Consider the following 26,283-nt stretch of genomic DNA (forward strand, 5'->3'; position numbering starts at 1 on the left):
AGGCATCAAGGTAATTGAGGTGATTTGCCAAATCTACTTCCTTTTACTTCTAGGAAATGGTGGTGGATACTTAACCTCATTTCATTTCATTTCATAAATGCTTTTATTTTTTGGGGTGTGAATTACTCAAGGCAGAGCATAGGAACTCATGTAGAGCAGCTAAATGCTTTAATACAATGAATGCACCTTGGGTTTCAAGTTGTCAGGGAGGCACTGACCCTCATAAGAGTACAGGACTGTGGGGGTCACAGCACAGTTAACTGCACTGCAGGCTGAGAGACTGGAGAGGCAGTAGCATTGACCCATGTGGGGGATGATCAGAGCCTGAGTTAAAGCTCTATGGGATCGGAAACTATAAATGCCAAGAGCTGTGGAAGAGAGAGAGGCAATTAAGGGTCAGATGATAACTTGAGTGTCTTGTCAGAAAGGTGAATTAAGTGGCAGAATGATGCAATGATGAAGGTTAAAAATAGGCATTTTGGAGAAAGGAAGTTCGGGTATCTTTTCTGGGTTTACATCCTAACACAGCCCTTTGTTGCCCATCACATTTATCTTATGATCCTTATGATGTATGCTTCTGGCAGGTAGAACTAGGAGGAGGAGGAGGTAAATGTCATTTAAGGGCCTTGAAAAGTACTTAAAGAAGACGTTATGTTCCTACCCTCTTTTCACAGAAGTGACTAAATACTTACTAAGTGAATACATAGTAAGCCCTGGGGAAACACCTAAATTTCTGTTAGCAGAAACTTAAAATATTTAGTCTTGGAATGAGGAGGTACTTTGTCTGCTTGGACATCTGTAAAGGAGTAAAAAACCTCCACTTTGTGGACCACAGGATTGTAAAGTCAATTGGGAAGGAAAAGAGCACATTGGAGACTCTATATGTATTTGAAGGATGTGTGCCGCCATCCTGTCCATTCATGAACTCACCCTACCCTATTCTATATAAATTCATCTTCAGTTAAATATTTTTTCTAGTTCATTTATTTTGTCTGGTTATGCTACTACAGAGATACCACATTTCACCAAAGTCCTTAAAATGTGCTACCTCAAATGAGATTTATTAGCCAGGGCAGATAACTGTCACTCCCCTCATCCTGGGCTTAATACTTCTATGAATGCAGTCCTAGAGCATGTGAATATATATGTGTACCTATTGGATTCATATTGAGTTTATAGTTCAGTTAGTATGTATAACTCTTGGATTCACTTTGAGTTTCTAGTTAAATCCATCCCAGCATGTTCATGCATGCTGCCTTTGGGCCAGGTCTCCATGATTCTGTACAGAATGTTAGGGTTTTTGGATTTAAATGCAAGATTTCACCTTTTTCAGGTCTAAATTTAATCTCATTAGATTAGCACATTAGCTTCATTGCAGCTGCCTTTAAAGAGATCATTTTCCAGTTGATTTACATACAACTTACTGGCTAGTTTCAGGAACCCTGAAAATGAAATAAACATGTCCATCCAATGGAAAGAAAATAAAAGCTGGAGACTGAATTCAGACTTCTGCCATTTGCTAGCTGTATACTCTTCAGCAAGTTAACTTCTTTGAGCTTCCATCCCCATATGCTTTCCTAGATGTGAAGTGGAAAAAAGTCTCTATTTCACAGGCTTGTTAAAAGGGTAAGGTAAGTCAATGTGTGTACAGCATCTAGTATGGAGCTTTGCACATGGTAGGCACAGTGCTGGTCAATATCAGTAACTCAAATTCACAAGTTAAAATATTGAACAGTGTGAAGCCCTGCATCATACTCTCCGACAAGCAGATCATCAGGTCATGAGCCCACTAATTAGCATTCTGTGAATCGCCTTTGATTGTTCAACACGTTTTAACCTCCCCGCCCCCATTTTATTCTTCAGCCCATGTTTCTCCATTGTGTTCAGGATACTGTAAGAGGTTATCAGGTTATCACCTACCTTAGTGAATTCCAGATGTTGTATTTAAGGACATGGGAAATTATTTGTGATGTAATATATGTAATAAGATATAGAAGTCCCTTAGAAAAGTGGGAACATTTTTCTTTCTTTAGTTTTCTGGTGTTTGAAGTGTACATGTAGTAAAATTAAAACTTAGTAAATATTTTTTAAAAATGAAGCAGATATGACTAAAGGGAAAAAAGAACAGGGCCACACACTAGAATGTCAGCACTTACTATGGGAACACTATGGGCTACTACTGTAGTATTCCACAGTGCCAAGCACATGGGAGGATCTCAAGAACTTGTTGACTTATTTCTTCTTTATTCAGGTACCACAGCTTGTTCTCTCTTTATTATTCCAGAGAGCACTTATGAATATGTCACTTACACCACGCTTTCTTTGAAAAATTGAAAGCAAAACATTATTTTTTTCCTTTCCTTTATGCCTATTGTAATATGCAGGGTTCACTGTTCAGCTCTCACTGCAGAAAAGCATTTGCGCTAATGCTGTACATCATTTGAATGCTTTGTGGGTTCTCATGTGTCCACCTTGGATCTTGAGCAACTTGCCTTGCTAGCATCTGCTTTCTCTCTAAGGACAGAGCTGCATATGACTTTTCTGGGTCCTAGCATAGGCACTTTGCCTTCATGGGCTCCTTTCTCCATTAAAAAATTTATAGGTTATATTTTATTACTTCACTAGACAAATATTCTTTTTACACATTATTATATTTATTTTTCTTTTGATTTTAAAATAAATGAAAACATTTTTTGAAGGCCCTGAAAAGTATCATGGGCCATCAGCACTGTGCCTTCTATGCCTAATGGCTAAGTCACCTGGCTCAGGGACTCAGGAGTGCCTGTCATGGAGGGCCTCCTCTGCACAATGAGGTGTGCGTGATTTATGATGGCAGTGCTTCTCTGTTTTTATCCTCATTTGCTCTTAGAATATTGGATGATCATGATTATTATCTGAGAAGTAATCACTTGAGTTTCTCCTCTTAATACATTTTCTCTTGTCCCCTTCCCAGATTATTGTTCTCTGTTAGCCTTTCTCAGATTCTTAGGACTCCTGCACTATGAAAGATGACTTTAAGGGAATTTTTTTTCAGCAACGCTTTGGACCATTTACAGATGCAACATTGTGAGACTGACTTTGGAAAGGACCTGAAGGTTAATGCTTTGCCTTCTAATGCTAGTAATGCTAGTTTTTTTTTTTTTTTTCCTTTTCTGTTTGTTTTTCTCTTTTTTTTTTAGTGTGGTGAGGTTGTTATGTTCTTTTGATTTTTGAATGGTATCAGTCAAAAGCATTTAGGCATTGTCAGTGGTGATTTTGAAATAAAACTTATTAAAGAAAATATAATTACTGTACTTGTCATGTGCTGAGAGACAGTTTCTCTTTGTTGTTACCCTAGCTGTGTATTTCTAGGTTCTGTAAGAATAGCTCCTCTAGTTTTAAAGTGTCAGGTGGCTAGAAAGGAGTACAGATCCTTGACAAGAAGAACATAGCAATCGAGGGAGGAAAAATGCAGAGGAGTTGGGGAGGATACAGCAATAGTGAAGGCTCAGATGCCAGAGAAAGACCAAGGAACATGGTTTATACTTGCTTCTTTAGTGTTTAAACAGATGGGCAACTCTAAAATAAAGGTCCATATGAAGCCAGAGAAAGTACATTTTAATGAAGTACACCCTTGGAAGGGAGGAGGTCAGAGAGAAGTAATATGAGTTTTATTCCATCAATGTTGCTATAGACTAACCCAGGAGGATAGCGTTAGCATTTTGAGAGCCAGGAAAGTTGTTGGCATTTCCATTATCTTCATAAATAAGTGACTTGGAGCAGTGAAAGCATGTCTTACTAAAGGTTGTTGGGGAGGGTCAGTTTTCCAGTGCTCATATAGTTGCTGGGCTTTAGGCCAGGCCCTGATAAATGCGTGGACGGTGAAGTGGTTGGTTCACGTTTTGACTGGTTCACGCAGGATTACCAGACAAATGGCCACCTCATCTGTCACTGGCAAAGAATTGAAATCTCACTGACTGTAACTAAATTCTCTCTCACTCAGTTTTTTCCTACTCTTGGTCCTGGTGGAATATGCTCCTTCATAATGTGGGGGAAGAACAGCTACATAAAGAATTCATTGTCTGTGACTGTTTATAGACATTTAACCCCAATGTATATTCTTGGGAGATGTAGGCATATTCCCATGAGTGAGGAAGGCTGAGTCCAGTTAAGGTGTAAGCCCTCCCGCGTCCTGGAAAGGGTTGTCAGAGCAAACGCTGTCATATGATACCGTCCTTGCAGCTCTTCCAGCTGAGCCATCACAAATACACGAAAATAGCTTGGATATTTGGACACATCTCCCAACTTTAAGCTATTAAGGTTTTCAAAATTCTCCAGGTCCCTTGATCCTCACTGTGACTCTGGAGTGTAAGTTTTGGATAGGCTGCTATTGGTCTGAGCCTTTCACTCAGACATGTCATTACCAGTCACAATGCTATTCTTTTCTGTGAGGCTTGTTTTTTGAATTTAAAAAGAAAATAAGCTCCTATTAGTATGGACCATATTGATAGGAATCAAAATTTCATATTTAAAAGTTCTTTGTAACTCATGAGGGGATTACATGAACTCCCTTATTAAAGAACTTAATATATTGCAGCATGGATCCTTATGAAAAAGACAAGTTGATAATTGCCTTGCAAAAGCTTTCTTTTCTCCTCCTTTCTAATACTCATGAAAAGTAGTGCTAGGGTTTTTCTACCTGATTTGGTCAATGCTTCCTTTATTTTTCTTCTAATTAACCAGGGACTGTAACATCATGTTTTAACCTTAATTTTGTTTTAAACTTTTAAGTTCAAGGGTACATGTGCAGGTTTGTTATACAAGTAAACTCGTGTCACGGGGGTTTGTTGTACAGATTATTTTGTCACCTAGATATTAAGCCTAGTACCCATTAGTTATTTTTCTTGATCCTCTTCCTCCTTCCACCCTCCACCTCAGGTAGGCCCCAGTATCTATTGTTACCCTTTGTGTGTCCATATGTTCCCCTCCCACTTATAAGTGAGAACATGCAATATTTGGTTTTCTCCTCCTGCATTAGTTTGCTGAGGATAATGGCCGCCATCCCATCCATATTCCTGCAAAGGACATGATCTCATTCTCTTTCATGGCTGCAGAGTATTCCATGCTGTATATATACCACATTTTCTTTATCCAGTCTACCATTGAGGGACATTTAGGTTGATTCCATGTCTTTGCTATTGTGAGTGGTGCTGACATGGACATACATTTGCATGTGTCTTTATGATAGAACAATTTATATTCTGTTGGTTATATACTCAGTAATGGTATTGATGCTTTGAGTGGTAGTTCTGTTTTTAGGTCTTTGAGGAATCGCCATACTCTTTCCCACATGGTTAAACTTATTTATACTCCCACCAACAGCGTTTAAGTGTTCCTTTTTTTTTTTTACAACCTCGCCAGCAGATGTTATTTTTTGACTTTTCAATAATAGCCATTCTGATTGGTGTGAGATGGTCTCTTATTATTGTTTTAATTTGCATTTCTCTAATGATCAGTGATGCTGAGCTTTTTTTTCATATGCTTGTTGGCTGCATTTATGTCTTCTTTTGAAAAGTGTCCGTTGCCCTTTGCCCACTTTTTAATGGTGTTTTTTTTTGTTTGTTGATTTGTTTACACTCCTTGTAGATGCTGCATATTAGACCTTTGTCAGATGCATAGATTGCAACAATTTTCTTCATTCTGCAGGTTCTCTGTTTACTGTGTTGATAGTTTCTTTTGCTGTGCAGAAGCTGTTTGGTTTAATGAGATCCCATTTGTCAATTTTTGCTTTTGTCACAATTACTTTTGGTGTCTTGGTCATGAAATCTTTGCCTGTTCCTGTGTCCACAATGGTATTGCCAAGGTTGTCTTCCAGTTAACTTGAATTTTGGATGCTGTTTTATGACCCCAGAAAACCTGAGGTTTGCTTTTCTGCTTCATGCAAATGCTGTACTTGGTGCTAGTTAATTATAGGCCAAAATGCATATCAGGTGCTGTTATCTAAGAACCTTGGTAAATTTTGAGTAGGAAGAGGGGAATGTGCATGGAAACTGAGCTTGTAGAATCCTAGGGTCAAGAAGGTACTTTGTAGATCAACCATCCAGTTTTTCAGTTCCTTTGATAAAACCATACTAAAGGGTCACCTGGCCCATGCTTGAATGGGGAATTCACTGTATCCCCAGAGGACCCTGACACATTTTAGCTCACTATGTAGGGGAACATTTTTCTTTCATTAGTTTTCTGGTATTTGGCCATGCCACGCCAGTCTAATTCTTTCACCATATAACAGACTACATATTCAAAGGACATTTGATGTTCCCTGCAAATCTTCTCTTCCAAATCTCATCACTAGCCTTGCTGTCTGGGTGTGTTCCAGTGTGTGTTTCAGTGTCCTCTGCACTACTTAGTGTTGCCGGTAAACCATGCATGGGGAGAGATAATGGAATTTTTCTTTGTAATTTTGTTCATGTGCTTTTTAGGTGTACTTCATAATGGCAATAGGTTCCAAGTATTGACTATGTAATGATGGAGGTGTGCACTTTGGATGTTTTTGTAGGTCTAGGCAGAGGAATACATCTTTGAAAAGTGACCAAGTTATAAAATTTGCCTGCCTTACCTTAAAGATGTAATTGTGTAAGAGCCTGCTAATGTGGGCAGTGGTCAGTCCTGCTAGACCAAGGAGACTGGGGCGCCATGTCAGCCCCTCCCTCTCGTGTTATACTGCCACTGTTTTGAAAGTTAACACTGGGAATTGGCAGATAAGTCATTGGTATGGGAAATAAAGGATTTTATAAACATTATAAGTGTGCTTTGGGTTCCTGGGGTTGTAGAATCAGGGAAGGGGGCTGCCTCCAAAGTTGATAGTGCCTCCCGGACTTGGCTGTTCATGAGAGTCACCCGGAGAACTTTGTAAACTGAAATGCATCGCCTCACTGCAGACCTATTGAGTAAACTCTGAGGGTTAGGCCCAGGAGTCTGATGATAACGCAGCAGACTAAGAACTGGTTTGTAGGCGTTAAGTGGGGAACAGGTGATGGTCCATCTTTTAGAACCACAGACTAGATAATCTTTAAGCTACTCTCTGGTTCTGAAATTACAATTTTTATATCCTTTTGATTGTTCTTTATGCTGTCTTTTTATGGTGTGTGCTTTTTATTGCCTTCTTTTTCTATTGCTGTGTTCTTTCACTTTCCTTCTGTGGTTATTGTTGGCTTGTTTTACCCATTTGAGTAACTTACTGGCTGAGTGTCCTTGAAGATTTTTCAAGCAGAGGAATGGCATGGTCACAGTTTTCATTCCTGTCGTTGCTGGCCTGTGATGACCATTTTTCCCATCTTTCTAGTGTGTCTAGAAAGAACACACTAGGTCAGAGCATCCTTTTGCTAGGGCTGCCACCTACTCCTGCCAGCCCCCTGCCTACGTGTGGGCTTGCTGAGGCATGATCTTTATGTCTCCTCCACATATCTGCCTTTTTTTTTTTTTTTTTTGGACTCCTGATCACAGCTGTCCAGGTGTTCCTTTTGAAATGGATCTGAATTTTTAATTTTAACCCAAAGAGGCCATGCCTTCTTACAACCTAGAGCCTAATTTTGGTTTATGTTAATAGAGGAACCTCCCCAGTCTTTCCAAGCCAGCTTGAAATAATAAAGGATGTCCCACTGCATCCTCCAAGAGAGACCACAAAAGGAGGACAAAGAGCCCCCATTACTCTCCATAGATAACCTATTAAAAGCTTGTATTTGATAAGGTGCCCTGTTCTGAAGGTGCCCATGTGCAGTTAGCCTCTAGCATTCATGTACATATTATCTTTGAACTGTTTCTCAGTTAGCAAATCTTTACTCAACTCAGAGCAACTGTAGGACAAGTATTTGGGATAAGGGGGACATCTTTTATGCAAATGTCAAGAGTGATTGACTTTTTTCATCTTCTTAACCCAGAGTTCCTCAACCTTATTTTCATTAGGTCCCCCTCCATGCCTCTTTAGACATACATTTTGTAATCTCCCCTTCGATTATGAAATCTTAACACCACTGATGTACTGTATATCTGTATATATACTGTGGCCCTTTGAACAAACACAAACCATTTTAATAGCTGAGACTTTTTTTTTTTTAACACTCTTCCTCCCCCGATTAGTTTCCCTTTCCTTGGTGACTATAATGCCTCTATTGTAAATGCATGTTTTGACCCACCTGCCCAACCTTGGCCCAACTTGCATAAGGTATATTTAAACCAAGTGATTCTAATGTGCATCCAGGCTTAGGACCCAGTGATCTTACCCACTGTTTCCAAAACCTGGCTTGATCATAAGAATTAACTGGGAACATTTGTTAAGCAATCATATTCCCAAACCCTTGTGCCTGGAGATTATGCACTAAGAATTCTTATGCTTAACAGTTGCCTCAGTAATTCTTAAAATGTGGCAGATTTGGTTCTTTCTCTTCTGACCCAAAAGCTGCTCTCTCTGCCCATTTTCCAGCCTAGAGGTTGTGAGGGTGGGGAATGAAGTTGCTTACAAAGCATAGATATACTCTAAATATCCTGAGTTGGAACTTAAAATGAAATCGAATAAACACTTCCACAAAAAAAAAAAAAAAACAGTTGAAGTAGTGTCATGTTACTTCACTAGACAACTAGCATTGAATATCTATTGAGTAGAACTGTGGCGGGTATTCTGAGGGATGCCTTAGTGTGTATAATATGGTTTATTACTACAGGGGGCTCATTAATCTCTTGAAGGAGCAGAGGCAAAATGCGTTGGAGAATCACCTTAATTTTTTCCAGGTAATTGGGTAAAGGCCTCAGAGAGGTCGTGGCATTTGAGGATGAATAAAATGCTGCTAGCTGGGGAAAGGTTGTTAGGAACAGGAAAGGCATAATGAATAGTGAATGATTCACTGGTGCCAGAACATGGGGTGCATGGGCCTGTGGGTGTGGGAAATGGAGTCAGAAAGGCCATGGATATTTGTGGGGCAGAAGTTAGAAAGGACACTGGACTGGAAGCCAGAGAGGTTTGTTGAAGGTGTGGCTCTGATACCTTCCATGCCTTGTCTTTCAAAGTTCAATTTGTGATAATGATTGCTCACTGGGCAGTTGTGTTGCTAGTGTAAGATATGAGCAAGCATTTTATAAGCTCTCAAAACCTACAAAAATGTTGATGGTGTTATTATTATGTGCCAGGTCATGAGGGCCCTGAATGTGAAACTGAGGAGCTTGTGCTTTGTTCTATAACTAGTGGATAGCTATTGGAAAGCTTTGAGAAGACCTGTTTATGCTGCATTAGGGGCTGAGCAGACTTTTATAGGCTTACTTAAAGACTTAATCACAATCTGTAATGGTCCTATGCATGTGGAAGTGCATTCTGAGCTTCTAGCTCTGACCTAGAAATGGATGTTTGGAATAGAACCCATTGGAGAGTTGGAGGCCCTTAGTTCAAAGGCCAAAAAAAAAAAAAAAAGAAACATGGGTAATTTGTCTTATCAGCTTTCCTTTATTTTCATAATTAGAGAATCACAGGCTGTTGATGTTGGAAAGGAGCACAGAGATCTAGTTGAGTTCATTTGCCATCTTAGGTGCTCAAAGCTTTGCTGTTAGTTATTCACAGGGCTAGGACCTGGGAGCCCTGTCACAGGGCAGCACCCATCTGGTTCTGAGCCAGGCAGGCTGATGCCGGAGGGGCTGGCCTAGCCAGGCTTGTCTCCGTTTTCCAATATGTACAGCTGTTTCTCCTGGGCAGGATCTAGGCCTCCTCTCTCACCCTGTGTTCCTTTTGTGCACAGTTTAGGTCCACCCTTCATTCAGTGTTGACTGACTTTGCAGTAAGATGCTGAGCCTCCCTGAACTCCTTCCATTCCTTTCATGTATGTTTTAGCTCACTTGTTGCTTTGTTTTTGATGATTAGTATGAAAAACATTTCTTTAAATTTACATGCTATGTTTGGATAGTAGCTTGAATACTTGGTAGATTGGATTGCTGGACTTGTTAATCAGTCCTGAGACCCTTTAGACATTTGGTCCCTGCAGTCTGTTGATTTCTGCTATAATATCTTTTTGTTTGTGGTCCTTCTCTGTTTTTGAAAATGAAAGAAGTCTTAAAAGTTGGCATGATTCTTGTTTAGCACTTAGCCTCATCCTACCAGTACACTCCAAGGGCAACAAGGTGTTATCATTAGATCTAATATTTTTGCTCTTGAAAAGCTTTAGTAACTTGGATATATAGGAAGATGTGGTATGTGGTGGTTTAATAGTAATAATTAAGGCTAACATATATTAAGCATTTCTCATATGCCACACACTATTCTGAAAACCTGTATTTACTGTATTAAGTAACTTGTATGAGGTCACACAAACAGCCAGTAAACTGTTGGGGAGTTGGGATTATGGAGCTTGGGCTCCACAGTGCACCTTCTTTGCCTTGCTCTTTATAGTAGACATACTGGGACTTTGAACATGAGTCTGAATCCTGGCACAGACACATCTATGTAATCTGGACCCAGGCAGGTAATCTCTCTGTGCTTCAGTTGGACCATTTGTGAAATCAAAGTAACTGCCTGGCTCAGGGTTGTTTTTAGGATTAAATGAGATTATGTATGTAGAGTGCCTGGCCTAATGTCTGGCACTTGAGAGGCATTTCTCATTATTTTAGAGATGTTCTTGTAAAAAGTAGTGTTGTAAAGTTTTTGAAATTAGACTTTGAAAACCTGTCTAGTAATAAATCATTTTAATGTTAAATTGCTCTCACTCACGCATATGAGATGTTCTTCATTAAAGGAAATCTTTGATGAGTTGTGGGCCTGGAATACCAGGCTGTGGAAAGTGCTTTCCAGAGAGAAAAGGGGCCCATGGTACCAGAACATGGTCTCTCCCTGGTTGGTGCTAATGATACGACATAGTGAGTCATGACACGGGTGATCTTGTTTCCTTTTATTATACAAATCTGGGTAAAAAATTGGACTCTCAGCTAGGAGTAGGAACTTGGGGAAGTGGTAGCAAAGAAGCTATTGGTACCACTGAGCTACCTCAGAAAATTGTCCTGGGAGCTTACCGAGAACGGATTGTGCCCTTTGGTCTGAACACCTGGGAGCTGTTGCTTGCTTCCTGGTGCAGGAATGCTGTTGCTCTTACACTTTACTTTGGGATTATGATTGGGAGTTTCCTGTAGAATTCCTGCATTCCTCTTTTCTTGAATATTCTTTTTGATTGCATGTCACAAAGAGAGGTTTCTGACTCAGAGAACTCTTGAGGTGATGTGCTGAACAAGGTACTCACTAGATAGTGTTTCTGCAGAGGAACCAGCTGGTCAGCAAATACAAGCACACTGTATTTTAAGAGCTGAGCTGCAATGAAAGAACTGTCCTTAGATGCTGTGGTAGTGAGATGGCTCACTGGGTGGCCTGCGGGCCACTACCCAACATTTCTGCACATTCTTATATTAGACGAAGGCCAGGAGTGTTAGTTCCACATCTTACGTAGGTTGTTGGTAAACAGTAAAAATAAAATGTAAAGACTGTCTGTCAAAAGGAGCAGTTTTTAAAGAAGTGGCTCTGAAGGAGCTTTGCCTTTTCTTGTCAGAAAGAAAGCAGACTTGTTAGATGTTAACATCTAATCAGATGTAACTTCAGGACATAGGAGTTGAGTAGACTTTGTTGGATACTAATGGTCTGCCTTGTTCCTTAAACAGTAGGGGAATTAAAAAACTTTGCAATTAGGCCTTGTCTTTGTGGTTCTTCATCTGGATTAATATTAGAATTTAATATTTAAGTTCTGTTTGTGGAGCCAAAATGTGGTGATCAGCATGAGATCTGTTTCGTGTTTGCATAACTGTTTGTGAGTTGCTAGGGAATATACTCTCAGTTTTTTCCATCTTGCCTTTTTACTTAACTGTTTTGGTAAACCAGTAGGAAACTTTGTGAATGTAGTATGTGTGAGAAGTTTAAATGTTAGAGAGGATTTATTTTCAGGGTGCAAGACTGCCTCTTACAGGAGCTGTAAACACTTTGGAATGTAAACCTATCTGGTTGGAGAGGAACCCTTATACAATTAGGTTGGTTAGGTTGGTGCAAAAGTAATTACGGTTTTTGCCATTATCTTCAATGGCATTATTCAATAATGCCATTATTGCAATTAAAATTGTGTGATTTTATTATGTTGGTGCAAAAGTAATTATGGTTTTTGCCATTATCTTCAATGGCATTATTATTGAATAATAGTTATTATAATTTTATATATATATATAATATATAGTTATTATTGAATAATGCCATTGAAGATAGTGGCAAAAACTGTAATTACTTTTGCACCAACATAATAAAATCACACAATTTTAATCTTAAATTTTGATTGTGGAAATACCACAATATATGTTTTAGCTTATGTATATTTAGAATATGTTAGAAGATGTTTTGAGGCAAGTTAAGCCCTTCTCCACTATTAAATTCTACAATGGTTATAATTGGATCATTGTATTTCTGAATACCTGAAATCTGGTTAGGGCCTAACAGTCTGAACAAACGGCATTACATAGTCAATCCAGTTCACATGACTTCTTTGTAAATGCAAAAAGCCAAGTTGCATATTTAAATTGTTTGGAATCCTGTGGGATTTCAGTATGTATGCATCTGATATTTGGGTTATTTGTTCTCTTAGTATTTGCGATATTCTATTGCTTGACCATACCCTCCCGCCCCTTTTGGAAAAGTGCTTTGGCATTCCTTGAAACAAACTTTCCAGAATAAATATAGCAATATCATGGTTACCATTGCTGGGCTTAATCCATCTTGCAGTTTGTTAAGAGATGAATTCTTGGCTGCAATAAATTGTATTAACTGGTTAGTCAGGTCCCTCCCTGACCCTTCAAGATCTCCTGATAATGGTTTAAAACAGTTAGGTCATCTTCAGCATTACTTAGAGTAAGAGATAAAGTCCTTTTCTTTCCTCCATTACTTACAATTTGTATGCACTCAAAGTGCCATTAAATGTTGCCTTAGAGAGTTATGGGCCATTCTTGAGTGATTGTAATCTGTCAACTCAGATTAATTTTTGAAGTACTATGTCAATGCCTGAGTCTTCCATTTCTTGCTTGCTGTCCAGAAACATCAAACCTTGGCTAGGGGTGGTATCGACGTATTTGCTTAAGGAGATTAAAAACATTAACTAAGGTATTCTCTCATGGATAATAGGTAATCCTAAAGTATTCTGTTGTCCATGATCAGGACTTATCAGTGTTGCCTATGTGAGTTTTTTCTTTGCTCGGCCTGTCACTTCAGAAGGTACTCTGAGTGCTGATTTTAATGTTGGTGTATTTGCTGAGAAAATTCAGAAAGAATCTTCCTAACGCAGTTCCTCTGAACAACCCATTCTTACTTGATGCCTCATAGGAATCTTTGATCCTATTGGTATGATGTGACTGACCATAAAATCGCCTAATTGACTTTTGTTTTTTTCTCGGAAGAAGCATAACAGATAAGGTTTATGATGACAAGAGCCATTTGTTATCCTTTTATGGCAGTTTGTGCCTCATTATGATTTTCATTTTCTACCTTGTATTTTAATTATTGATCCACCTCTCCTGTGTCATTTCCTGGATGTCCTTTAGGAATAAAGACTACTTTTTATTTGAAATCTCTTCCATTTTCAAACCTTGCACATAGTTGGCATAGTATGTATGTGGTGCTTGTTGTTGCTATTAGTTTGGATAAATTGTATTGAATCCACGGCACAATGCCCACTAAACAAAATTTTATTCCATTTGAGTCATGTAATGCTTTCCTGAGTACAATGTGTGAAAAATGCAACCTTATTGAAAATCGCACATCAAAATATAAAAAACACTGTAATAAACTTTATTGGATATCTGTTTGACTGCTTTTTGAAAGAACCTTTTTCTTTTCTGTATGTAAACAGATTATATCCCCCTCTTTTCAAGTTTTACTTGATGATACATTTGGTTAAAATGTGCAGGAAAAACAACCCTTTCTAGATGAGTAGAATCTTTGATTTTCTGTCGTACAAAACATCAATACCAAGAAGTTGAATGATCCTCTGTCATCTGGCCTAAGTTCCTTTTTTTCTCAGCAGATTTACCTTTTTAAAACAGTTTTTCTCCCTAAAATTTCTATTACATTTTTTAATAAAATAGGACTTATACTGTACATATATACAATTTTACATTTCTTTTTTCCCTTAACCCTAAAACATAGTGTTTATTATATTATTAAATATTCTCCAGAAACATGATTTTTAATGGCCATATAATAGTTCATTGTATGCATTTGCCATCCTGTGTTTAATCATTCCCCTATTGTTAGTTTCAGTTCGATATCTTTTTTCTCTCCTCATAGTTGATCTTTCCCTCTGAGGTACCAACCCTGCTTGGTCCAGCTCTCATCAGTTCTCCATCTGCACCATCAGTCTGGTCCTCCCATGTCAACAGCTCATCCCTTCAGTCAAGTTACCAGTAAAGTAATGCTGTCCTGATCCATTTTGCTTTTAGTAAAAGCTTCTTTTCTCCAAGTGATTGCAGTTGCCACTACCAGTCTGATCCACCCTTCTGATCATAGCACAATACAGAAAACATGCCTGGTTTCTTGGTTTTCAAAGTGATTCACCCTTGAGCTATTTTAATTATGGGGGGCAACCTTGGGGCATTTATATCTTTGTTTAGGATCATTAATGGTGACAGCTTAATAATGCATGAAAGCACCTTGGAAACATTAAAATATACCAGCAAATGAGAGGATAAAGGTATTAGGGGAGGCCAGAAAAATTAGAAAGATAAATATTTTGAACAAAATAAATGTAAGCATCTTTATTATAAATGCTCAAGCACACACATGCTAACACTCAGTGGAAACTAATTTGCTTCTCTGAAATTTGGTCATGCAAGGAAAGGAGTCAGCACTCTTTCCTTTGTTGCATAAAGAAAAGGGTACTTGTGCCTCTGAAACATGAACCTATTAAAAATTATATTTTAGAGCAGGAGAGGCCTTTTTTCCCCCTGTGATCTCTTTCATGTATTTGTCTTCTGGGCAAATAGATGGGCAGGGAGAAATATCTCTTCAGATTATAGAATAAATGGTTAGTTTTATTTAGAGATTGAACCCTTTATCTTATTTCATATTTATTGTCTATCACCTGGCCTATTAGTACATGAATATAAACTATTTTGTCAATCAGTATTTCAAATTCTTAAGTATTTGTGATTCTCTGGAATTCCATTCTGTGTCTATGAAAATTGTTCAGCATTAGTAAAATTCTAATTGCCAGTTGAACAGTGTCATCCTTTTGAGTTTCTCCAGGACTGTCCTGCTGCTCTGTGATACCTCCCCTATTGCCTTCAGAAACTAGACCTAGCTGAGCCTTTTTTCTTTGTATGCCCTTTTGCTGTATCGTATTATAAACTTGTATCAAATTTTGTCTTCTGCTTTCCCTGTTTCTTTCAGCCTTCCCTTGCCCAAGGCTTTATCGGGATGTTTGTTATATCTCTGTGCCCCTGATCCTCTAGAAGTTGATTCATTCTTATCTGTCTAGATTTCTTGCATGTCTACTCTCTCTGTCTGGATTGGTTTGGCAGCAACCCCACTTATGTGCTCTCACATGTAGGTTTCATTAGCATGCTCTTTTCTTCCGCTCGCAACTTGTCAATCAAGATGGAATCTGACAGCATTGGTAATTTTAGTAGTTATTTCTTTCCTAGCTTACCCTCCCGCCTCCACCTCCAGCATGACTTAGTTTTGGTTAGCTGATTAGAATGTAGTTTCACACCAGTGTTTTTTGTTTAGCAGGTAGTTATCTGAGGATTTCTACTGTGTGATCCTCCAGCATGGCTCTGTTTGGGAATTTTTCCTAAAGAATATTATTAACTGGTCTGCAGTATCAGGGAAGCCAGTAAAGTTGCTGGTCTTCAGTTTCCTTATCTGTTAACTAGAGATAAAAAAAACTCTACCTCACTTGGTTATAGAGATTCAGTTAAATAAAAGTATCTGTGCCTATAATACCAGCACTTTGGGAGGCCGAGGCAGGCGGATCACGAGGTCAGGAGATCGAGGCCATCCTGGCTAACATGGTGAAACCCCATCTCTACTAAACATACAAAAAATGGTGGCACACACCGGTAGTCCCAGCTACTCGGGACGCTGAGGCAGGAGAATGGTGTGAACCCGGGAGGCGGAGGTTGCAGTGAGCCGAGATCATGCCACTGCACTCCAGCCTGGGCGACAGAGCGAGACTCCGTCTCAAAAAATAATAATAATAAAAATAAATAAATAAAAGTATCTGTGTATCCCCAGCCCAGTCTTTTCTTACTAATAGGAATTCCTTCTTCATTAATGTCTACCAATTCTGTGCATTTTTGACATCTTTATTAAGATATAATTCACATACCATACAATTCACCCAAGTGCGCAATTCTCTGGTTTTTAATAAAGTCACAGTTGTGCAACCATTACCGCAATCAATTTTAGAATATTTTCATCACCCAAAAGAAACCCCATATCCTTTAGCCATCGTTTTCCATTTCCTAGGCAACTGCTAATCTACTTTCTGTAATTTTATGCATTTTAACTTCATGCTTAATGTTATATTGTGTGCTAACAGGATTTTCATTTTTCTTTTGGCACAGGGAAGGTATTTTGAAATGCAATTCTATAATTTTTAGAGCTACAAAGAGCCCTTTATCATTTAATGCTATTTTTTCACAAGAAAACAAGAGGACCAGAGAAGTTAAGTGATTCACCCAGAGATATTCCTATTCCACACCTCTACCAAACACACTGACAAAAAGTGTCTCATTCACGCTTATTTAACTAATACTTATTTATGAGTGTTTGCTAAAACCCTTTCAAACTCAAATTCTGGATGTGGGATATGATTGTTTGAATTATCTGCTTTAACCAAACTAGTTCTTTCAGTATTCTGTGACTATTTCTTGGCCTTTTCTTTTTGTCTATATCCTTTTCATATATAAAGAATCTTAGCCAAAGTTTATTCAGTGTATTATTTTCTCTTCTGATTTGCTTTAGAAAAGTCATTACTCTATAATCAACCATAGAATTTTGTACATAATCTACCCAGTTTTCATGTGTGTTCTGTGGCATATCTGAGGTTTCTACCTCATTTAATCTACCAATTTTTTCCCACCCTCTCCCTCTTTTTAACATGATTTTTGCCATTCCTTCCATCTATAAATGAAGATGATTTCTCTACTCCCTTAAATATGGGCCGACTTTGTGACTTGCTTTGACCAATTTCCATTGGCAGAAAGGACAACATCAGGCAAATTTCAAGCTTAGGCCCCAAGAGTCCTTGCAGCTTTTGCCGTTGCCCTTTTTGAATGCTCTCTGGGAGCTTCATATAAGAAAGCCACTCTAGCTTAAGGGAGGAGGACAGAGGCCTTGTGGAGCACAGAGGAGCTCTAGCTGGCAGCTGGCACTAACTGCTAGACATAGCAGTGAGGCCAGCATGGATCTTCCAGCCCTTCTGACACTAGCCAAATGTAGATGCATGAGTCCAGATGAGAGCAGCAGCGGAATTACCTAACCAACGCACAGAAACGTGAGGAATAAAAATCCATGTAGTTTTGAGCCACCAAATTTGGGATGGTTTGTTATTCAGTAAAAGCTAACTTATATGCGTAGGTATCAGTATTGCGGCAACCTTGAGATGATTAAAGAGTATAATCCATGTAAAGTGTTTGGCTTACTGCCAAACATATAGTGTCCCTCAGTAGAGGTTAACTGCTGTATTATTATCATTATCATTGTTGTTTTGGTTATAATGGTCGCTTCTCCCTCCTCCTCTAGATCTAATGCCATTGCTCTTTAATATTATTAACTTTGATGAATTAAATAATTGGATGTCCTTAGTGGTAATTGGTATTTTCCTTCCTAATTAGTAAGTAGTCTAAAACTTTAAAAAGTTTTTTTTATTGTGAAATAAAACACATATATAGAAAAGAACTTAAAGCATAAATTTACAGCTTACAGCAAATTATAAAGTGAACATCTGTCACTGCCATTCAGGTTAAGAAATTGAACATTACCATGACTCCAAAAACTTGTATCAAATTACATATTCTGCTTCCATTGAATGCTTTTCCTGATCATAATCCCCCCTCTTATATCTAGAGGTAGCCACTAACCTGATTTTATAGGAATCACTCTTTGCTTATCCTTTTGGGTTTTATTGCCTCTGTATGCATCTGTAAACAAATTAGTTCAGGTGATTTATTCAACATATAAATGAAATAATATAGTATGCATTTTTGTGTGCCTGGCTTTATTCACTGAACATTATCTCTAAGATTCATCCATGTCATAACTAACGGTAAGCTTTCATTTTCATTGCTGTGTAGAATTTCATTGTAATAATGTATAATACCTCTATCAGATCCACTATTTATGGGTGTTTGGGTTTTTATAGTTTTGGGGTATTATAAATAATTCTTTCAAGCACATTTTTATATATATATTCTGGAAAAAATATATGTGAGAGTTTTTTTTTTAAAGATCTATACCTAGTAGTATAACTTCTGGGTAACAAAGTCACAGTCACTTTTTGCAAGTCTCACAGAAAAGAACAATACCAGATGACACAAATGATGTGTACTGTGCATCTTACCTTGAGATTAGAACTGTTGGTTTACCATGCAACCACATACAGGTGGTTGACCAAAAAGGCAGTCTAGGTTGATGGGGACCGGAGTAGGGATGGTATGAGAGTTATGTAGGATGAAAAGGGGTCAAGATGTATGTGATAGGTTAGAATGTCTCTGGGAAGGAAATCTGTGAGTAAATTTGGTGTTATTATAGTTAGGAGTCCCATAGTTTTTCAGGAATTAATAGCATTTTTTACATTAGTTGTTCTCCATTTGAATTTGTAACAATGGTTTATGTTTTCTCTATATTGCAGAGGAGAAGTTTGGGCAACTGGGGGACAATTGACTGATCCTTGGCCATATAATAATAAAAGGGGACCCAGCTCTTCTAGGACTGAGATTTTCTTTGTCCCTTTCTAAAAAGCAGAAGGGAGGTACTAACACTTTACCAAAAAAGAAGGAAAAGAATCTTGTCAGAAATGGAGAATGGGAGAACATTTAGCCAAATTAAAGGCTGTATCTACTAAAAGCAATGGTGGCTCTAAGAAGATGGGTGTAGCATAACAACCCGAGGCAATTTGGGTTCCTTTGCATATAATTGTACAGAATGTGCTCTAAGTGGGTTAGTGAGCTATAATCAAACATGGTAGAGTTGAAGAATGGTGTCTGTGTGTTCTGTCACATGGTTGCACTGCACTGAGGCTTCCTGCCAAGACAGCTACAGGAATTGTTTTTCATGGGCTCTGGCTGATCTCAAAGGCAAGGCAGAAGGGTTTATAGCTTAGTGAGTTATTTTTCCTGACTCTCTAAGGAAGCTGAATATTTGAGAATTTAATACAGTTTCCTTGGCATTGTGTTGATCTTTGGATACCATATTAAGATCACATCAGGATAATGAGGGAAGGATTAAGGAATTACTGGTTTCATTTGGGATCATGTCAGATGGGGTTGTTTTTACATCTGGCATGTACTTCCCAAGTTGAATAAAGTAGTATTTGTGACAGGCTCTAGTGGAGGATGCTGGTAACATGCAGAACCAAACCTTAAATTTGCATGCTGTTATGACTTCTATTGGATGTGAGGATTTGTAGGTTATCGTTTCCACAGATGTAAAGTGAACTTATTATTCACTGTACATCTAAGTACCTTATTGACTTGATTTCTTGTCTTATTTCTGAATGGTCCCAGAATGTATGGAGATGGTGATGGGTTTTGTAGTTTTGCTATTATGCCTTTCCTAGAAAACAAAGTGAGCTTTTCATGCTTGAGTAAACACATTGATGTATTATGAAACTGTCAAGACTCTGTACAATTGGCATAAGCTCAATTATTCAAATACGTGACTCTATTGAATGGCTTTTGTGCTGGCTGATGCTTTAGTTCAGCCAGTATAAAGACATTTCAATATCTTTCCTTAAGAAATTAAATCTCAACTGCATGAGTAAAGAAATGCAAAGGATTAGTCCTGTAGTTGAGCACTTTCCTCATCATCTTGTATAGCTAATTGGTAGCATTCATTTGCTGAGATTTATAGTTCATTTTATTTTTTAAAAAAATATGGTTTTTAAATTAAAAAGTCATTCATGCATTATCTTTGTCACCCAACATAACTGCTTTTTTCTTCTTTGTTCTCTTCCTGTCAGTCCACATGCACACATGCTTTTTTAATGTAGTGTATCAGCAATTTTGTTTTCTTTTTAAGTTATATTTGCATGGTAAATCTTTTTCAAGTTCTGTGGTCTTTATAATATTTATTTTTATTGTTGCATAATATTGAATTATTTAATAATATGCAATCATTTTTCTTATTTGAAATGTATGTTTTCTAGTTTTTTATTTTTACACATAATAGTGCAAAGATGTATTTGTGCATTATTTTCAGTTATGAGGACAGGTGTCCAGAAGTATTTCAGTGGACTTGAAAAGATTTTTTCTTTTACGTATTGCTCAATTGCTTTCCAAGAGGCAATTGTATGATTATATAAATATACAATCTTTTTTACCAACAAAAAAAAGAAAGATAAAGTCTATTAAATGTTAGCATCCTACAAAATTAACATTTGGAGCATCCTGTAATCTTAGTAGAGACTTCTTCATTTGTAAATTCAATTTCTATTTTTAGCAGAGTAATGTATGCAAATAGTTTAAAAATCTAATAAGCTGTTTAGTGTGACAGTGAAAAACAGCAGCCTCTTGCCTCCTTCCCCACTCCGGTTTCTGGCTTTTGACTATTTCTGCGAATATTTGCCTCCATATTGCTAAATGACTTTTGCGGCTTGATTTTTTTTCCTCTTTGAGTTATTTATGGATTTCTTTTTGTGGAAGATGAGGCTTTAGTTCTTACAGTTTCTTTCCCATTCTCTCAATATTGACATAACATAAATTTTGGTTTTACCAATATAGATATTATAATGTTATGACTGTAAGTACTGTTCATAATCAAATTTTATATTATGATTATATATTCTTTCACTTTATATTTTCCCTGGAATTAATAACCCTCTTTCCTTTTGCTTGCTTTGTTTTCTTTATGCCTATTTCTAATTTATCACCAAACATTCTGAAAGAGTTGCAAATTTCCTTTGATACTTCCAAACATGTCAGATAATTCCTCAGGTGTGTTTTTATTTATTTTTTCAAAACCTCCCTCTGGGAGCTGTCATATTGCTGCAGTGTAGATGGGTTGCTCTTGGGGCCTGATATTCAAGCAACATTTTGGAATTCCCTTCATGATTTTATTCTGGGAATTTCCTTTGCCTTTCTCTGTTTTGTTGATTCTCTGTTTCCTGGATCTCAGGTTGTTTTTCTTTTAAGTTTACTTACATATTTTGATGGAGTCCTGAGAAAGGTGCAAGGAAACTGAACTTTTTGATACCATGCGTGACTGAAATGTTTTTATTCTGTAATCATACTTAATTGATAGTTTGGCTGGGTATATAATTTTAGGTTGGGAATAATGATTTTTTTGGAATTTTGAAGGCATTGCTTTATTGCCCTCTTACTTTCAAGGTTGCTTTTGAGTCCAGTGCCATTCTGATACCCAATTCTTTGTTAAGACCTTTTTCCTTTATTTCCTGTGCCTGGAAACTTTTAGAATCTAATTTCTGGAGTTCTAACATCTTATGGTATGCCTTGGTATGTACTTTTTTTTTCATTCATTTTATTGGTCGCATGGTGGGCCCTCTCAAACCAGAAAAAGCATGTCCTGCAGTTTCCTGTATTTCTCTCTTTCAACTACGAATTACTTTGTAGTACCTTGTGAACCGGTCCATTAGTTTTCCTCTCTTTTTTTCTCCCACTTTCCCATCTTTTTGTCTTTTTATTCCACCTTCTGAGGACTCTATTAACTTTATTTTTCACCTCTTTTATGGGATTCTTTTATCAATGCTACAATATTTTTCACTTTCTGAAAGCTTATTTCTAATTCTTCTAATTATGCTTTTTATGGTGTTATGTTGCTTCATCTGTGATTTCTCTGAGGATATTAATTATTTTTTGGTTGAGGAATTATTTTTTCTGCTCCCTGCATCATGTTTGTTTCCTCTGGGGTGGGGGGGTATGTGTTTGTGTGTGTGTGTGTGTGTGTGTGTGTGTGTGTGTGTGTGTGTGCGTGCGCGCACATTCTCTTTCTTGCATGTGGCAGTGGAGATCAGATGAGGTGGGCCTGTTTGGAAGCTCCGTGTGTTGGTGAGGCTTATAACCTGAAGCTTCTTTATAGGAAGATTAGTGTCTGCAAGTCTGTGCTCATGCCCAGGAGCCGGGATGCAGGGAGAAGAGAGGGTGGGATCTTACTGACCAGGCTTTGTCTCAGTCCCCTGTTTTTAGCATGGTTATGTTACCCCCTGCCCTCAGCTGTGCTTAGCTGTGGTAGGACTTACCTCTTCTGGAGAGGAAATTTCCAGGCTCCTGCCTGGCTCTGCAGGGTAGAGAAGAGAATATGGCAGTTTAACTGTTCATTATATAAATTTTCAATCAGTTCTCCTTTCCTCAGAGGTACCTGGACCTAGTTTCTTATTGGCTACTCGCCCCACAGGCTTAAATTTCAGCTTTGTTTCAATTTGTTTGTTAGTTACCATTCATCCCTCTGTTTTCTAGCTTAAAGGATTTTGTTGCATATCTAGTTCGCTTTTTGTACTCTTTCATTTTCTGTCTTCATGGGCTTATTTCACATTATATTTATGTTCATGTGTATATAAATTCCTTTAGTGTCATTTTAATACAGTTTTTAAAAAGTATGGGGAAAGAGCATGTACTCAGTCTGCCATGGTTGATGGAAGTATCCAGTGCAGACTTTTTAGACTGGTCAAAAATATATTTTTTGCTTGCACACATTTGTGGGATATTTATTATACTTTCTGATATACAATAATTTCTTTAAAAAATGTCTTTTTAAAATATTTTAAAATTTAAATAATATTTTTAAAAGACATTTTTACATGTCTTTAGCATTGCAGATTTAATGTCAATTTTCATAAGTCGATATTTCTGTCTACTGGATAGCTTAAAGGAGTGACTGTTCTTTAAGTTGCTCATTAATTTTTAAAAACCTTTTATTTTGAAATAATTGTAGATTGATAGGAAGTTCAAAAATAGTACTGAGAGGTTCCTTATACCCAGTTTTTCCCAATGGTAACATCTTCACAACTACAGTACTGCCATCAAAGTTAGGAAATTGATGTTGCTACAACCTTCATTAGTTTTTAAAAGACATTGTTTTACATTTCATAGTAGCCCAAAAGTTTATGATACAAACATATGTGAAATCTATGTTAAACTCTTTTGTCTTTCAGCAATTTTTCCAGCTAGTCAAATTACGAAAGCTTGGACTTAGTGATAATGAAATTCAGCGGCTCCCTCCAGAAATAGCAAACTTCATGCAGCTGGTGGAACTAGATGTGTCTCGAAATGGTAAGAAAGATTCCACTTGGGTTGCCTATTTGTCTCTTCAGATGCTGGGGGTGTTTTTAGTAAATATAGCTACGAGTGAGAACATGCGGTGTTTGGTTTTTTGTCCTTGTGATAGTTCGCTGAGAATGATGGTTTCCAGCTTCATCCATGTCCCAAATATAGCTAGATAAATATTACTGGAGGTGCTTTCCCTGATAGTTATGGGAAAACTATATGATTCTTGGGGTGAAATTAATGCCATTTTTGAATAGGTCAGTTAACTTATAGGCATTTTCCAAAAAAAATTTCATAACACAAGTTTTAGGAGACAGCTTTCTCCAAATAAGTTCAATCTGATTCCTAGAGTTAGAGAGTGGGCTGGGCAATCATTTAACCTTGTCCACTTATTTTGCTGAACATGATATTGAGGACTGGTGGCATGGTTTTTGTCCAGTGCTTGGGTGCTGCTGTGGCAAGGGAAACCTGCCCTGGGGAAGGGTTGGTTTCTCTTGGCTGTGTCTCAGTTGCTTGGTATGCTCTCCCTGTAGTGAACAGACCTGCTTGCGTTCAGGCATCTTCTGTCTTAATGTGTTTCTAATTAGGCTGCTGGTGGCTTTGCCCACTTCAATTTGTGTGGTATATTTGTGAGTTTATTTTGATTTTCAGATCCCACTATTGATTCATTTTTACTGAACATTTGAATAGGGCATCCTAATAGATACCCCAATGGGATACTCAAATGCCTTTCATTTTTAAATGGGTACCTTGGTTTAACCCTCAGTTTTATACCCCTTAGAGTGCTTCCCAAATGGGCTGGTACTGCTCCTTGTTGTAGCATATTTGATTTATTAAATTAACGTAGCAACTCCCAGTGGTCCTATCTAGTGATGGAATTCAGTTCTTGTAAGGACCCTGGTACAATTTCCTTAGGATAGTCTTGAACAAGGTCTGAATTATTTATTAAAAAGGTAATTCCTTTATTTCTCTCCTATTACATACCTGATTTATTTTGTGTTTTGCTTCTGTTTTCCTACAAAAATCTATAGGTTTCTTCTGAATTGATTATCTTTAGGTCTGTATATTTCAGTCTGATATTTTTGGCAAAAACCCCAGGTCCCAGACATATAATTCTTCTGTGGGTCATTGTTATAATACAGCAATGGTAATCAGTACTTGGTTGGAAATATGGTGAAGAAAAAAATGATTCCTCCTTTCTAACAACTTCTAATAGGTTTTAAATTGTTTTTATCTGTTACATTCCATAAATTAGAAACTGTCTTCTGGCTTAGCCATGTGATCGTGACATTCTTCTATTTTGCATGAAAATTATTTCTTACTTTGAAGGTACTAGAAAAAGTAAAACAAAACTTTTTTGGGGGAGGGTGTCTTGTTTTAGAGTGGCTTATTTGGTCGCAGGGAACCCAGATCTACTTAGATAAAGTGGATTTGATTGTAAGGAAGGCGGGGTGGAATTAACATGCACCAAAAGCAGTGGCACCAAGCTTGCATTTGACACTATCTTGGGGGTTTCATGGCCTCTTTTTTCCAGTGTGTCCACTTCTGTTTGTGGGTTCTCTGTTCTTCCCTCCTCACTGAACTGCTCTGTTGGAACTGGCTTGTGGTGGCCTCTTTTTGTGACTTCTCTTTACGTACAGTTTGACTTTTGCCCCTGCTGCAGCATTTGTTTGCCAGTGAAGGATTTCTCAGTGAAGAGTGGTTGACCCAACTTATCTTTTTATGCCAATCATAAGACATAGGGTACAGGTCAGGTTACCAGCCACCCTAAAGGTTGGCTGCCCTGGGAGTTGGATGGCAACCAGTACAAAGCATGGCCCTGCCCCTCAGCACAGAAGTTGTTGATGAGCAGCTTCGCTTACACTGGAGTATGGGGTGGGGTGGGCATCTGGGGTCTGGCCAGGCCAGAATTGCCTCAGAAACTAGCCTGTATAATACTTTCCCAAGGTATATGTGATTGAAATGATTCTCTTGTCCTAGCAGTTACCTAAGTTATAAAGAATGACTAGCTATTAACTCTGCAAGGAAGCAGTGACTTTGTAAAATGGTCACGAAAGTCACAAAATCTGAAGAAATACATAGCAATTTTGAAATGGGGATTAGAAATAAACAGAAATACTTAAGAAAGACGAAAAGTTTTGGCTCTGACTATTTGGGCGGAAGGAAACCATACAGCTCAAAAGTTCCCAGTCCCGTAATTAACTCTAATGGGATGCTCCGTGGGAAGTCAGCACTAGTCAGCTGCCAGTTTTACCAGTTCCCACATCAGCTCTTTTCAAACATTTGTAGCTAGAAAGAAGGGCTCCATGCATCTTCCCGTGTGTCCCCTTACCTTCCAGCACGTTGATAAAAGAAACTAGGCTTTCACTGAAGACAGTATCAGGACACAAAAATGTTTCTGCTCCTTGGAACACCTACCCTGCTTTTTGTTGTTGTTGTTGTTGTTGTATTTTTCCCCGCTCACTTTCAACCTTTCCTTCTGCAAGTGTTGGAGTTTTGTGAGGGATCCTGCAGAACGTTCACCTTCTTATCCAGCTCTCTTAGAAATGCCGAGAGGGAGTTAACCATTCCCTTCCCTTCTTGACAGGGCCTGGCTCTGGCTCAGTAGCATTATGTGTGTGGTGGATGTGGGGGTAGAGGGGAAGACAGCATGGAAGGTTCAGGGCTTTCCTGGAGGTTATTAAAAGAAAGAGTGAACCTGGGCTGGGTGCGGTGGCTCACGCCTGTAATCCCGGCACTTTGGGAGGCCAAGGCGGGGGGATCACTAGGTCAGGAGTTCGAGACCAGCCTGACCAACATGGTGAAACCTCC

The 26,283-nt window shown here is 38.1% G+C and overlaps 1 protein-coding gene across 4 annotated transcripts in view; it reads left to right on the forward strand.

The window, feature by feature from the left end:
* Positions 1-26,283, forward strand: part of LRRC1 (leucine rich repeat containing 1) — a 129,121-nt gene that overhangs the window by 23,745 nt on the left and 79,093 nt on the right. For all 4 annotated transcript variants that reach the window (XR_007059279.1, XR_001743505.2, NM_018214.5 and 1 more), the window contains exon 2: positions 23,361-23,478. Coding sequence is in view for 2 of the 4 variants with exons in the window: in NM_018214.5 (NP_060684.4) it covers positions 23,361-23,478 (118 nt within the window). In the remaining 2 variants the exon portion in view is untranslated. The remainder of the gene's footprint in view (positions 1-23,360; positions 23,479-26,283) is intronic.

Source organism: Homo sapiens, chromosome 6 (assembly GCF_000001405.40).
Source record: "Homo sapiens chromosome 6, GRCh38.p14 Primary Assembly".
Classification (NCBI taxonomy): domain Eukaryota; kingdom Metazoa; phylum Chordata; class Mammalia; order Primates; family Hominidae; genus Homo; species Homo sapiens.